This window comes from Homo sapiens, chromosome 1 (assembly GCF_000001405.40).
Source record: "Homo sapiens chromosome 1, GRCh38.p14 Primary Assembly".
In the NCBI taxonomy this organism is placed as follows: domain Eukaryota; kingdom Metazoa; phylum Chordata; class Mammalia; order Primates; family Hominidae; genus Homo; species Homo sapiens.
This window is the reverse complement of record NC_000001.11, coordinates 58,046,810-58,063,189: the sequence shown is the minus strand read 5'-3', so window position 1 is coordinate 58,063,189 and position 16,380 is coordinate 58,046,810. Positions and strand designations below refer to the sequence as shown.

Here is a 16,380-nt window from a genome sequence, read left to right as displayed (position 1 = left end):
TTTTCTGTAATTATTTTGTTCTTTTCTATCCCTAAAACAAGCCTTTTGGTGCCAATGGAATGGGCCTCTTCGGACATTCTGTGGTGAAGGACCAGAGAGCCCCAGGTAGTGAGGACAATGTTGCCTTGCTTATTCCTGAGCAGTGCCTAGCTGAGTGCTTTGCACATGGTAATCCCTCAATCAGTACTTGTTGCATGAATGAATGAATAAATAAGTTGGTTGATAAATCAGAGTTATTAGTTCATATGCTGAGTTTGGCTCTGGCCTTCTCTGACTTTTCAGCTCTATCAGTCATCCATGTTCACATGCAATTGTCTCATTGTGTGCTTTCTTGACATTTCTTGCAAATGACTCACCCAGATCCTGGTGCATGTTCCTTCAGACGCATCTGTGTGAGGGCGAGCATGGTGTGTAGTATCTACTCATCTCAGGGCTGAGAAACTTTCTCAAAGCAGAAAGCCATCTGGGTGACTAGGTAGGCCCTCCATCAAATTCCTCACCTGACGGAGCATCAGGGCTGGAACTCCTGGCACCGTAGTGAGTGTCCTCACTCTGCACCAGGAACAGAACCTGGGGAGCTTGCCATGTCTCCCCATGCCTTGCTCTGTGACTGTGGACTCTGTGGAGCAGCAGAGCAGCAAGATGAAAAATGGATGTTTCAAAGAGGAAGCAAGGATAGTTGTATGGAAGGTCTTGGAAGCTGGAATAGCAGAGGCAGGTGGCCAGGGCCTTCCCAAGAAGCCCTCCTTGAATCTTGCATGGGATTCTACCATTTGAAGGTAACCAAGACCCACATATAAAACCATGCAATAGAGGAGAAAGCCCTGGCAAAGCTGTAGTGAGACTTGCACTATAATTCTTGTCTTACTACTTATGAGGTCTGTGACCTCTACCAAGCCCTGTAGCTTTCTGAGCCTCTGTTTCCTCAACTGTCTAGTGCCATAAGTTATCCCTGCCTGAACAAGGTGATGGCTATGGGGAAGGTTTGAGAAAGACCACTTATGCTACATAAGACAAACTGCGAGTGTTATTGGAGGGCAGTGAGGAGCTATATATAGGATATTTTAATACAGAGAATGTTCCCTGGATTAAATGGCTTCTTATTCCAAGGAGAAAAATTAGTTCTAGCCCAAGGCTAGTCATTAAATCAGCAAAATGATTTTTTGGGGCCTCAGTTTCCTTACTATTTGAAATGGAGGTTAGGTTAAATGACCTTTAAATTCCTACTAGGGGCATGTTAGGGTAGATACTAAGCTCAGTTAATTTGCGGATAGCAGATTAACTACATGGAAAAGGAGTCTCTCTCCATCTTGGGGAAAGGAAATCACATTTCCTGATACCTGCTCTTTGTCAGGTAGTTACATTCCCTACCTCATTTAACTGTCACACAACCCTATGGGGTGCAATAAACCCTATGGGGATACTAAAGCTTTATCAGCCTTTATTACCCTCACTCTACTGAGAAGAGAACAGCCTTAGAGAATGTTATGGGTGGAGTTGTACCCCTCCTCTCACCCCAAATTTATATGTTGAAGTCCTAACATTCGGTGCCTTAGAATGTGACTTTATTTGGGAATAGGGTCATTGCAGATAGAGTTAGTTAAGAGAAGCCATTGTTGGGGGGTGGTTCTAATCCAGTATAAGTGGTGTCCCTGTAAAAAGGGAAAATTTGGACAGACAGACACAGGGCCATGTGAAGACGAAGGCAGAGATCAGTATGACTCTTCTAAAAGCCAAGCAGTGCCAAAGGTCACCAGAAAACTGTAAGAAGCTAGAGGAGAAGCCTGGAACGGATTCATCTCACAGCCCTCAGAAGGAAATAGCCCTGCCAACACCTTGATCTTGGACTTCTAGCTCCTCAACTGTGAGGCAGTAAATGCTATTGTTGAAGTCGCCCGGTTTGTGGCACTTTGTTTCAGCGACCCTAGAATACTAAAGCAGAGGGGTTAAGCGACTTGCTCAGGGTTGCAAAGCTAGAACTCACCCGTGGGTCTTTTTCATTCGAAAGCCTGTGGATTTGTCACTGCATATTCTCTGATACTCTGAGGTGTTGAGCCCATGTGTGTGAAAGAGTGGGGTCAGTGAGGACGTTCCTGAGCCCACGTCAGACCTGAGCATCCTCTGTCCTGGCCACGACTGGTCCTTTCCCCTGCCAAAGGGAGGGATGGAGGCCCTGAGGACCCAGGCTCTTCCTTCTTCATCCTTCTTGCTGGCAGCACTGGAGGAAGCAGCAGGGAGGCAGGCAGCCTCTGGCTTGGCTGGCTTCCCCAAACAGTGTCCTCCCACAGTTAGATGTGGCATTCCCCTGCCGAGGAACCAGATGTTCCACGTTGTAATGTGATGTCATGGCAGGAAAAGGTGTGTGAGCAAAGGTAATCATGGAAGACACTGCTCGGGCTAATGTTGCCTTTTGCTTAACAGCCCATGGCTGCTGGCCCAGAAAGCCGAGAATTGGCAGTTTACCCTGGGACTTGTGCACACTCACTTACAACACTCGAGGCATGCTTCTCTGTTCTCAGGCCAGGACTTTGTGGGCCCTTGGGCAGGAGACCCCGAAAACCCCACAGAGGGTGCAGAAAGGGCAGCAACAGAGGAACTGTCAGGTAAAAAAAAGATCTCCTGGGCATCTGCGGTTTCTCAATTTACCCTTCCACTTATCTACCCTGTGAGGTGGCTTTCACCAGTCGCTCTTTACTCTGGGGAGCAGATGAGCTCAGAAATGTGAGGCGAGTTTTCCAAAGTCATACAGTAAGAAGAAGGAAATCTAGGGTGAAAAACTGGTCTATCTACAAGAATCTCTATGCTCTTTTATCCACAGCAGAGACCATAATACAAATAAACCTTGGGCACAATTCTGGCTGTCTTCTGAACCTCCTCCTTACCTTAGAGAGCCAGCAGAGAAGCCTGTTGGAAAGAGTTGGCTTTTGGTTTTCTTCTTAAACTGCAGATCCAACCACTTCATTCGGTGGGTGAGCCCCTACTGCCTATGAGAGATGTGCGGACTCCTTGGCCTGGACTCGCCTGATCTTTGGCTCCTTTGCCATCCTTCCTCCTCACCCTGCTGCTCTCCCCACACAGAAGCCAGCCTCTGGCATCCCCAGACTGCCCCTTTCCCGGATGTGTGCTCTCCCCAGCCTGCTCCTCCTGGCTTGGTGTGCCCTCCCCTGCACTACATGAAAAATCCTGCTCATTAGTCAGAAATCAGTCCCTTTTGTGCTGCCTTCCCGGGAGCTCCCAGGAAGTTCCAGCACAGTTGTCAGTGCTGTGATCGTTGCCTAGCATAAGGACCGTGAGTGTAGCCTCTGGAGTCAGACTGCCTGTTGGTGCATCCTTTCTCTGCCATTTCCTAGCTGTGTAACCCTGGAGAAATTGCTTAGCCTCGCTGTGACTTCTTGTGAAATGAAAATGATGATAATGAGTGCTTACTCCATGAGGTTATTGGGCAGACTGAAAATGGCAAGCATATAAAGCACTCCATGTGGTGGATTTGGCTATTTTTAAGTGTCTTGCTTGTTTATGCCATTAGACTGTGTGCTCCTTGAAGTTGAGGACTGCATCTTATTTTCCTTTGTAGCCCCCATAGTTCCTAAATGGGGCCTTGTGGCCAGTTGATAAACCTTTGCTAAACAAAAGAAAGATATGTGCATAAATAAAAAGAGATAACCAGATTTACAGTGGCATGTGTGTATCCAGCATCAACCAGGTGATAACAACACTAATAACAGAATTACCTAGCATGTTTATTGAGTTGTTACTGTGTGTCAGGTACTGTCTTAAACACTTTGCCTGTTACCTCATTCAATTGTCTCAACAACCTTCTTAAGTAGTAACAGTCATTTGTGTTGCCATTTTATGGATGAAGAAACTGAGGTACATGGGTTGCAGTGACTTCCCTATGACTACACAGCTAGAGTATAGCAGAGATGGATTCAACTCAGGCTGCCTGGCTGAGAGCCCATGCTCATGGCCACCCCATTTTGCTGCTTCCAAGGAAGGTGTAATGGCAGTGACCAGCCCAGGGAGGCAAAAGGAGGATCTTAAAATAGCAACCCATGCTAAGAGGCAGGACACAGTAAGGGAGACAGGCAGGGACAGGGCTATGTGCAGAGCAAGAAGGTGGGGCTGAGACCTTCACTGCAGATGGCCCTGGTACAGTCCTCACTTTCCTCTGTGAGCCAGTCCAGTTGTCTTAAAGGAACTGAGGTAGAGCAGATGGCCACAGATGTACAGGTGTGTTCCTACCTGAAGGCAGGAAGATGGGTACCATGGAGCCTTCCTTTTATTTTGTGTTGTGTTCCTGGCAATTAGCAGAAAGTCTGGCACTTAGTACATATTTAATATGCAAGATAGTTCAATGAATGTGTGAGGATTCAGGAACTCCAGGATTTCATAGCATGAACAGATATGCAATTTCCATTTATTTTACTTTAAACCTCTTCTCATCTGTCTGCCAGAAAGCCCAAGTTAGGAGAGAGGATGCACATCTTTCTGTGATGAGATTTTGCTTATCCAAGAAGCCCGCATCTCTCATCATCAGCTCATGCATAGCCTTCGAGAGCCCTGCACTCCTGTAGTTCCAGCGGGTAGCATTGCTATGAGTGATGAAGCCCCCGGATGGTCTCAGTGGTGAGCAAATATTAACACTTTGAATCAATTGCACCTTCTTGATGACTGGGAAAACTGTTCAGAGCCTGGCAGAGAGTTATTGCACCATGCAACAGTCGAGCGTGGCTGATATAGTGGGAGCGAATGGCGTAAATGAGTTTAAGGCTAAGATGGATTTGCACTTGGAAACTGAAATCATGCAATGGGGTTTGCTGGTGGAATTGCAAAGTGCACCTGGAAGAATGCCAAGAATAATGCAGATGTCTCATCCCGTGCTTTTCATTGTAGACAACTATAGAATGGGAAAATTAATAGTACTTACCTCATAAGGTAGCAAGTTGGTGTACATGAGTTAATATAAATAACTTAGAATGGTACTGAGTATGTAGTAAGCACTTAATGAGTACTAGTCAGCATTAACACATACTAGGCACCCATAATACAACTAAGAATAAGACAGATTGGATTATAAGATGGAGAGGATTGTTCTCACAAATCCTACAGTGCAATAAATGGTGTTACAACCAGTCATATAACAGTGTTGCAACTGTTGTGCAATGTGATAGGTGTTGTGATGGCAAAAAGAGTGTTGTGCAACTCAGAAGAGAGGCTTCCCTAAGCTAGACTTGGATGGTCAGGGAAGGTCTCAAGATAAGGTAGCACAATGGGAGGAATGGCAAGCAGGAGGTGGTCAAGTGGAAAACAGGTGAGAGGATGCTCCTAGGCAGCTTATGCAAGGACCTGGAGGTGAGAAAGACCGTGTTCATTGTGGGCACTCAATGTGGAGTTGGTGGGTATATGTATTCCCTAAAGCTGCCATGACAAAGTACCACAAACTGGGGTAGCTTAAGACAATAGAAATTTATTCTCTTGCAGTTTCTAGAGGCTAGGAGTCCAAAACCAAGGTGTCGGCAAAGCTATGCTCTGAAGATTCTAGGGAAGAATCCTTCCTTGCCTCTCTCTATCTTCTAGCAGTTGCTAGCAGTCCTCAGCATTCCTTGGCTTGCAGCTGTAGTGCTCCAGTTTCTGCCCCTGTCTTTACATGGCTGTTCTACTTATGTGTGTCTCGGTTTTCTCTTCTTATAAAGACAACAGTTATTGGATTAGGGTGGTTTCTAATTTGTCCTATTGGTCTAGACCCTATTGGTCTAATTCAATAGGATTAGACTCACCCTAATCCAGTATGGCCTCGTTTTAACTAAATACATTTGCAAGAATCCTGCTTCCAAAGAAAGTTATATTCTGAGTTTCTGGGTAGACATGAATTTTAAGGGGATGCTATTCAACCCAGTACAATGGGGGTGGCCAAGGGGAGTAGAAATGAATAAAGGTGAAAAGAAGACAGGAATCAGATTATGCAGGGATTCATAATTAAAAAAAATAAACATTCTTGAGCACTTACAATATATTAAGAACTGTGGTAGGCACTTTACACATGTAATATGCACAATCCCTTTGAAAGAGGGAGAATCAGGTTGAGTGAGGCCAGAGGGGAAAATCAGAGTTTACAAAGTGTGTCATCAATTAGGGTCCTAGTAGAAAATAGAAGGTACACTGGATTAGAGTAATTCAAAGAGGGTTTAATAAAGGGATTGTTTAAGTGAGCAGAGTATAGGGAAAACATACGAGTTACAGCAGTGTGCAGGGCTGCTACCACCCCTAGACATGGACGGTGTGGGTGAGGGAGCAGGTACTGGAACCAAGACTAGGAAGTCCTGTGAAGAAGCCACCTTGAGCAGAGCAGTGACTTTTGGTTGAGAAAGGAAGCCATCCTAAGGTGACTACAAAGGGAGGAAGCCAACGGAGTGAATACACTAACTTGGTCTCTTGTCAAGAACCTGTTGGCTTACCTCAACCGGAGGACAAAAGAGAACAAGAGAGCCCATGGTGTAGTCCACATGGATAGCATCTGGGGGCCCTGGGCTGAGTGAGGAAGCCTGAAGCATGGATCTGGAGGATCAGACAGAAGACAGCTTGCACTGGGGCATTGATGAGAAGGCAGAGCCTGAGAGCCAGAAAATGGGGGAGTTAGGTTGTGATGAGCAAGGTGACATAACCCAACATTAAGAATGCACATGAGCTCTCTCTGGTCCGTGCCTCCAAGATGACAAAGAAAAGAAGGAACAATGGTCGTGCCAAAAAGGGCCGCGGCCACGTGCAGCCTATTCGCTGCACTAACTGTGCCCGATGCGTGCCCAAGGACAAGGCCATTAAGACATTCGTCATTCGAAACATAGTGAAGGCCGCAGCAGTCAGGGACATTTCTGAAGCGAGCGTCTTCGATGCCTATGTGCTTCCCAAGCTGTATGTGAAGCTACATTACTGTGTGAGTTGTGCAATTCACAGCAAAGTAGTCAGGAATCGATCTCGTGAAGCCCGCAAGGACCGAACACCCCCATCCCGATTTAGACCTGCGGGTGCTGCCCCACGTCCCCCACCAAAGCCCATGTAAGGAGCTGAGTTCTTAAAGACTGAAGACAGGCTATTCTCTGGAGAAAAATAAAATGGAAATTGTACTTAAAAAAAAAAAAAAAAGAATGCACATGAGGCCAGGCACGGTGGCTCACACCTGGAATTTTAGCACTGTGTGAGGCCGAGGCAGGCGGATTTCTTGAGCCCAGGAGTTTGAGACCAGCCTGAACAACATAGGGAGACCCTGTCTATACAAAAAATACAAATAATAATAATAATAATAATAATAACTCGGTGTGATGGCACATGCCTGTGTTTCCAGTTACTTGGGAGGCTGAGGCAGGAGGATCACTTGAGCCCAGAAGACAGAGGTTGCAGTGACAGAGGTTGCAGTGAGCCGAGATGACGCCACTGCACTCCAGCCTGGGTGACAGAGTAAGACCCTTTCTTGAAGGCCTGTGACTGCTCACCCTCATTCCCTATAGTACTAATATAGATTTATGCGTACATTAGTCTATTCAACATGTATTTGCTGAGCATCTAGCATATGTCCATCACTGGTCAAATGTATAGTGGTAAACAAAGCAAACAAAATTCTCTGCCTTCAAGGAGCTTACATTCTGATAGGAAAAGTAGATAGTCAACAAATAAAGAAAATATACTGACTGTCAGAAGATGATTAAGTGCTATGGATAAAAACAAAGCGGAAAAGGGAAAGAGGGAGTACGAGGGGTGGGGTTGCAAATGGAAATAGAGTAGAATGAAGGTGATATGTGAGCACAGATCTAAATGGAGATGAGGGAAGACACCATTCTGATACCTGGGGGATGAGAGTTTCAGGTAGAAGGAAGGTCAAGTACAAAGGCTATAAGCCACAGCATGCCTGGAGCATCTGAGAAGAATCAAGGATGTGCATGCTAGGAACTGAGTGTGATGAGATCAGAGAGGTAACAGGAGCCAGATCTGCAGATCCTGTGATCTTTGAAGGTCTGTGTTCTGCATGATACAACAGCATATTCTGAAATCCTGGCTGTCCCACATGAACATTGCTCTCCCATCTGTTAAATGGGAATAAGAGTCCTCATTTTGCTTATCTCCAGTGGTGTTTGTAAGGGTCCAGTGAAAAGATGGGTTATGGTATAGCTTTGAAAATCATTAAGTATGAGGTAAGATAATGTTTGTATTGCTTAGTAATTTTGCCTCAGGCCACCTGCTGCTGAGTAGAAAGGCTGCCCATGCCTTCACGAATGTGGCTGTGCTGGACCATTGCTTGACAGCGGGTTGTCATCTTTTCACACAGAATCTCATCTTCGTCCTCTCCTGGGCCTCCAACTCCAAGGCCTCGTTTTTAAAACAGCAATTTCTCCCCACTGTGTTTCATGCCCCAAACCTCCTAAGTGGAATTACAGACCAGTAACTCACAGTGGCCTGTTATTTATCCTATATGCAATAAAGACTTTCTGTAGGTTATAGGAAATAAATGTGCTTTTTACTATCATCTGTAGTTCTTATTAAACTTATCCCCATGGTGAGGAAATATCTTTGTGAGACCAAGCAGTTTTATGTCCCAACAGCCAATGAGCTGATAATGGGTTTTATGTCTAGCTGTAACCAGCAGCATTGCAGACAGCCCTTCGTTCATTGCAGTTAGGAGATGCAGGTTTCTCAACCCATAGCATGTAAATACTTCTTGTTAATTTAGTGGTCCATGCTTTTAAATAGAGTATCTGTTGTCCCCATGCATGTCTGTTGGCTGAAACACAGAATCTGAGATGCCTTATGGAGCTAAAGGAAGAAACCTGGACCAAAAATGAATGGTATGAGGTTATGAAATAAAGATGGAGGAGTAGAAAGAACTCTTTGCACTGGTAGTCTTTAAGCCATGAGAATTTTAAAATTGTAGATATAGGAGTTATTCTGTTATCTCCTCTTGGCAGAGAAATGGAAGGAGAAAGGCAGCTAAAACTGATTGCTAATTATTCAGACAGAAGCAACTTCTCATCCTAGGAAACTCTAAGACTTAGCGTCTTTATCTGTGAAACAGGGATGATAATGCCATACTCCTAGAATTGTGATGCAAAGAAGTCAGCACAGTGCTGATGCCCAGTATGTGTTCAACAAAAAGAAAGCCCTTTTAGTTCTAGTGTTATTCTTCCTTTCTAACTTCTTCCCTCTTGTTCTTCCCTTCAGTATAGCATACAAGTGAAAATAACTAGCAGGCAACAATGTGGGACCATGGATTAGGTGAGAAGACAGGAAGTGAGATCCAAACAGAGATCAACAGCGAGTATGGTTGACACCATGGGAATCCCAAACTTTTGTATGGTAGTACAGCATTGATTTAGCTTGCAGACTAATTTCACAGAGTTATTTAAATGTAAGTATACAGATTGGGGTTCTCTGCCATAACTAGGAAAGGGAAGAAGGAAGTGAATCCATATTTTTTGTTACCTACCATGTGGCACCTACTTTCATATATTATCTTTACTATATTTCCAAGACAGCTGGAATTTTGGTCTATTTTCTATTTTCATTTACCATCTGCTATGGTTTAGATATTTGTCCCCTCCAAACTTCATGTTGAAATTTGATACCCAGTGTTGGAGTTGGGGCCTAATGGAAGGTGTTTGAGTGATGGGGGCAGATTCCTCATAAATAGAGTAATGCCCTTCCTCAGGGGTGAGTGAGGTTTTCTCTAAAGTTCCTTCGAGAGTTGGTTGTTGAAAAAGAGGCTGGCACTCCCCAGCCCCTTGCTTCCTCTTTCACCATGCCATCTCTGCACACATGGGCTCTCCCTAACCTTCTACTTTCTGCCATGTGCGGAAGCAGCCTGAGACCACCAGATGCCCAATATTGAACCTTTCCAGACATCAGAATTGTGAGCCAAATGAACCTTTTCTCTTTACAAATTATCCAGCCTCAGGTATTCCTTCATAGCTACACAAAAGAGAAAAAGAAAACTGGTACCAAGAGTGGGGTTTTGTTATAAAGATAGCTGAATATGTGAAAGCGGCTTTAGAATTGGGTAATGGGAGATGTTTGGGCCATGGGGGTGGATCCCTCATGAATAGATTAAGCCATTTTTTGGAAGTGAGTAAGTTCTTACTCTATTAGTTCCCATGAACGCTTATTGTTTAAAAAAGCCTGGCAGCTCCCCATTTTCGCTCTTGCTTTTTCTTTCACCATGTGACCTCTACAAGCTAGCACTTCTTTGCCTTCCATAATGAGTGGAAGCAGCCTAAGGCCATCACCAAAAGCAGATGTTGGCACTATGTTTCTTGTACAGACTGCAGAATTGTAAGCCTAGTAAATCGCTTCTATTCAACAAACAGAGAGCCAAATCATAAGTGAACTCCCATTCACAATTGCTACAAAGAGAATAAAATACCTAGGAATCCAACTTACAAGGGATGTGAGGACCTCTTCAAGGAGAACTACAAACCACTGCTCAATGAAATAAAAGAGGACAGGAACAAATGGAAGAACATTCCATGCTTATGGATAGGAAGAATCAATATCATGAAAATGGCCATACTGCCCAAGGTAATTTATAGATTCAATGCCATCCCCATCAAGCTACCAATGACTTTCTTCACAGAATTGGAAAAAAACTACTTTAAAGTTCATATGGAACCAAAAAAGAGCCTGCATTGCCAAGTCAATCCTAAGCCAAAAGAACAAAGCTAGAGGCATCACGCTACCTGACTTCAAACTATGCTACAAGGCTACAGTAGCCAAAACAGCATGGTACTGGTACCAAAACAGATATATAGACCAATGGAACAGAACGGAGGACTCAGAAGTAATGCCACACATCTACAACCATCTGATCTTTGACAAACCTGACAAAAATAAGAAATGGGGAAAGGATTCCCTATTTAGTAAATGGTGCTGGGAAAATTGGCTAGCCACATGTAGAAAGCTGAAACTGGATCCCTTCCTTACCTCTTATACAAAAATTAATTCAAGATGGATTAAAGACTTGAATGTTAGACCTAAAACCATAAAAACCTTAGAAGAAAACCTAGGCAATACCATTCAGGACATAGGCATGGGCAGGGACTTCATGACTAAAACACCAAAAGTAATGGCAACAAAAGCCAAAATAGACAAATGGGATCTAATTAAACTAAAGAGCTTCTGCACGGCAAAAGAAACTACCATCAGAGTGAACAGGCAACCTACAGAATGGGAGAAAATTTTTGCAATCTACCCATTTGACAAAAGGCTAATATCCAGAATCTACAAAGAACTTAAACAAATTTACAAGAAAAAAACAACCCCATCAAAAAGTTGACAAAGGATATGAACAGACACTTCTCAAAAGAAGACATTTATGCAGACAACAAACACATGAAATAATGCTCATCGTCACTGGTCATCAGAGAAATGCAAATCAAAATCACAATGAGATACCATCTCATGCCAGTTAGAATGGCAATCATTAAAAAGTCAGGAAACAACAAATGCTGGAGAGGTTGTGGAGAAATAGGAATGCTTTTACACTGTTCATGGGAGTGTAAATTGCTTCAACCATTGTGGAAGACAGTGTGGCGATTCCTCAAGGATCTAGAGCTAGAATTACCATTTGACCCAGCAATCCCATTACTGGGTATATACCCAAAGGGTTATAAATCATGCTACTATAAAGACACATGCACACGTATGTCTATTGCAGCACTATTCACAATAGCAAAGTCTTGGAACCAACCCAAATGTCCATCAATAATAGACTGGATTAAGAAAATTGGCACATATACACCATGGAATACTATGCAGCCATAAAAAAGGATGAGCTCATGTCCTTTGAAGGGACATGGATGAAGCTGGAAACCATCATTCTGAGCAAACTATCACAAGGACAGAAAACCAAACACCACATGTTCTCACTCAGAGGTGGGACTTGAACAATGAGATCACTTGGACACAGGGCAGGGAACATCATATACTGGGGCCCATCGGGGGCTGGGGGGCTGGGGGAGGAATAGCATTAGGAGAAATACCTAATGTAAATGATGAGTTCATGGGTGCAGCAAACCAACATGGCACATATATACATATGTATCAAACCTGCACTTTGTGCACATGTACCCTAGAACTTAAAGTATATATATATAAAAAAAATTTCTTCTCTTTATAAATTACCCAGACTCAAGTCGTCCTTTATAGCAATACAAAATGGAGTAAGACATCACAGTATTTCTCACACCTAGAACAACATGTAGCATGTAGTAGAGCATCAGTAATATTTGGTGAATGAATTATGGATACTTAGGAAAAGCTCAGCAAGACAAAATCTATCAGCCATGTGCCACTGTCCAACTCATAAAAATAAAGCAATGAGGGCCGGGTGCGGTGGCTCACGCCTGTAATCTCAGCACTTTGGGAGGCCGAGGCGGGCGGATCACGAGATTAGGAGATTGAGACCATCCTGGCTAACACGGTGAGACCCCGTCTCTACTAAAAATACAAAAAATTAGCCAGGCGAGGTGGCGGGCACCTGTAGTCCCAGCTGCTCGGGAGGCTGAGGCAGGAGAATGGCGTGAACCCAGGAGGTGGAGCTTGCAGTGAGCCGAGATTGCGCCACTGCACTCCAGCCTGGGTGACAGAGCAAGACTGCATCTCCATAAATAAATAAATAAATAAATAAAATAAAGCAATGAGGTTAATTCTTTTATTCTACCTAAATATTCCTTAGATTAATGATTAATTCCTTCTCTTCATCACACTACCATATGTCTAGTCCAAAATCCCATCATATTTCACCTTTATTTCTGCTGTAACCTACACTTTGTTCTCCCCACCATAACTGAATACCTGTCTTACTGCATAGCCAGAATTTAAAAAGAAATATAATAATATTACTCTCCTGTTTAATATCTTCCAATAGCTCCATGCTCTTTGAATATAGTACCAAACTCTTATAGGCTCACGAGAGCCTGTTGTAACTGGCCCGATAAATTTCAGACTCATTGCTTTTTCTTTCTGTTCTGGACTGTATTACTTTCAGATGCTCAACTGATCTATGTTCTCTTTTAACTCAGGGCCTTTGTACGTGCTATTCTGTTGGCCTAGAATACTGCCTTATACACCCTCTACACTTCTCCATACAATCCTCTATCTAGATGATCTCTACTCATTGTTATGGTCTCCATTTAATATCACTTCTTTAGAGTTCCCTGCATGAGATTCCATACGGTTCCCAACTTCATGCCTTCATGGTTTCCTGCATGCCCCCTTTTCAAACACTAATGGTTTTTTCAAAATAATTTCTTTCCCTACCAGGCTAAAAGCCCCAAGAAAGGAGAGGTGGATTCTATTTTGTTCACTGCTGTGTGTGTGTGTGTGTGCATATGCGTGTATGCCAGGCATATAATATGTATTCAATAAGTATCTATTGAATAAATAGTGATCATGTAATACTAAAACTATCCTGCAATGTGAGGTATCATTTCTATTTTTCAGATAAGAAGACTAAAATCTAAAGAGACTAAATTTCAAACTCAAGGTCATATAGCAAATAACATAGTTAAGAGTCAAATCTAAGTCTGGATCCAAAATCCATGCTCTTTCTTCTATTCCAAAATAATTTTCTCCAGCTAATCAAATATTCTACTTACCAGCAGGTCACAACCTATGTCATATACTTGGTTCTAATTTGGAAAGAATTATAATTTACCAGACACAATCAATTCCTTCTGCAATGATGCAGAAGGCCCCATAGAACCTTTCAATGTGGTTGCTGAATGACTCTGAGCATAATTATTATCGGAAAGAAGTGCAAAAATAGTTCAGGTTAAGATACATTCGTCAGCTTGCTCCTTTCTGCCCGTGGATGCCGCCGAAGAAGCATCGTTAAAGTCTCTCTTCTCCCTGCCATCCTGTCTAAGTCAGAGTCTCCTAAAGAGCCCGAACAGCTTAGGAAGCTCTTCACTGGAGGGCTGAGCTTTGACACCACTGATGAGAACCTGAGAAGCCATTTTGAGCAATAGGGAACGCTCACGGACTGTGTGGTCCTGAGAGATCCAAACACCAAGTGCTCCGGGGGCTTTGGGTTTGTCACATATGCCACTGTGGAGGAGGTGGATGCAGCCACAAATGCAAGGCCACACAAGGTGGGTGGAAGAGTTGTGGAAACAGAGAGCTGTCTCAAGAGAAGATTCCCAAAGACCAGGTGCCCACTTAACTGTGAAAAAGGTATTTGTTGGTGGTTTTAAAGAAGACACTGAAGAACATCACCTAAGAGATTATTTTTAACAGTTGGAAAAATGGAAGTGATTGAAATCATGACTGACTGAGGCAGTGGCAAAGAAAAAGGGGCTTTGCCTTTGTAACCTTTGACAACCATGATTCCGTGGATAAGACTGTCATTCAGAAATACTATACTGTGAATGGCCACAACTGTGAAGTTAGGAAAGCCCTGTCAAAGCAAGAGATGGCTAGTGTTTCATCCAGCCAAAGAGGTGAAGTGGTTCTGGAAACTTTGGTGGTGGTCGTGGAGGTGGTTTCAGTGGGAATGACAACTTTGGTTGTGGAGGAAACTTTAGTGGTCATGGTGGCTTTGGTGGCAGCTGTGATGTCAGTGGATATGGTGGCAGTGGGGATGGTTATAATGGGTTTGGCAATTATGGTGGTTATGGAGGAAGTGGCCCTGGTTACTCTGGAGGAAGCAGAGGCTATGGAAGTGGTGGACAGGGTTATGGAAACCAGGGCAGTGGCTATGGCGGGAGTGGCAGCTATGACAGCTATAACAATAGAGGTGGAGGTAGCTTTGGCAGTGGCAGTGGAAGCAGTTTTGGAGGTGGTGGAAGCTACAGTGATTTGGGCAATTAAAACAATCAGTTTTCAAATTTTGGACCCATGAAGGGGGGAGATTTTGGAGGCAGAAGCTCTGGCCCCTATGGCGGTGGAGGCCAATACTTTGCCAAACTGTGAAACCAAGGTGGCTATGGCGGTTCCAGTAGCAGCAGTAGCTGTGGCAGTGGCAGAAGATTTTAATTAGGAAACAAAGCTTAGCAGGAGAGAAGAGCCAGAGAAGTGACAGGGAAGCTATAGGTTACAACAGATTTGTGAACTCAGCCAAACACAGTGGTGGCAGGGCCTAGCTGCTGCAAAGAAGACATGTTTTAGACAAATACTCATGTATATGGGCAAAAAACTTGAGGACTATATTTGTGACTAATTGTATAACAGGTTATTTTAGTTGCTGTTCTGTGGAAAGTGTAAAGCATTCCAACAAAGGGTTTTAATGTAGATTTTTTTTTGCACCCATGCTGTTGATTGCTAAATGTAATAGTCTGATCGTGATGCTGAATAAATGCCTTAAAAAAAGTAGTTCAGGTTATTTATGTTTCCTTTTTCTTGGATGCCGGATAAACAGTTGTTGACTGGACTTTCAACTCAGGCAGAGAGATGATCTAGTTAAGTTCCTGGCCTGAGAGAGTGTCAATAGAAGAGCCCATATTTCTCACATGTATGGAATTGCGTGAAGATCTTTCATTTATTCTACTCTGCTGTAATTCAATGTGATTACTTTGACTAGTGAATGAGAGGTGGCTCTTTAACCATAAACAAGCGAATGGGTTAAAAAAAATCAAAATTAGTATCTATGCTTTCAATGAGAGGAGTGAAGGGGCTATGATAAAGATTAGTAGGACACAGGGGCTGGTGGCTTCATTGCACCCACACCCCTCATTTGTGAGATGCCACTCACCTGTACATCCACCAGAGGGCAGCAGCAGCAGCGAAGGCCCACCTCCCTGGTGCCACACTTCACACCACACTGTCCAACCACACGTGGCTATTGGGCACCTGAAATGTGGCTAGTGCCACTTGTTGAAATGATAACAGTTTGGATATGTTGAAAGATAACAGTTTAGATATATTGGATTAAAGAAAATATATTATTAAAATTCATTTCACCTGTTTTTTTATTTTACTTAAATGTGGCTAAGTGGCAAATTTAAGGTGACATATGTGGCTTGCATTCATAGCCCATGCTATATTTCTTTTGGGTGAAACTGCTTGACACAATCCATGGCATAATAAAACAGAATTTCCAAAATAACTAAAGTTTGAATCTCATTTTCAGGCTATGTATATATTATACAAATATCATGTCATGGTAAGAATTTGGAGGGATCTTGGAGCTTGTCCTTATTTTACAGCTAAAGAAACTGAGGCTCAAAGAGATGAAGCAACTTTGCCCAAGGTCACACAACCAGTAAGTGGCACGGCTGGGCTTTGAACTTCAGTTTCAAACAAAATCAGTTCTTCTCCACTCAGTGAGTGGCCCAGAAATTGTAGGTATCCCTGGACTTAAAGAGTGTACCTCTGAGAGCTCCCATCCCTCTATCCCCAGCA

The 16,380-nt window shown here is 43.4% G+C and overlaps 1 protein-coding gene and 2 pseudogenes across 4 annotated transcripts in view; all 3 read left to right on the top strand.

Annotated features, from left to right (window-relative positions):
- The window catches only part of DAB1 (DAB adaptor protein 1), a 1,551,949-nt gene that overhangs the window by 483,537 nt on the left and 1,052,032 nt on the right, over nucleotides 1–16,380 (top strand). The window lies entirely within an intron of this gene.
- Nucleotides 6,686–7,128, top strand: RPS26P15 (ribosomal protein S26 pseudogene 15; annotated as a pseudogene).
- Nucleotides 13,817–15,341, top strand: HNRNPA1P6 (heterogeneous nuclear ribonucleoprotein A1 pseudogene 6; annotated as a pseudogene).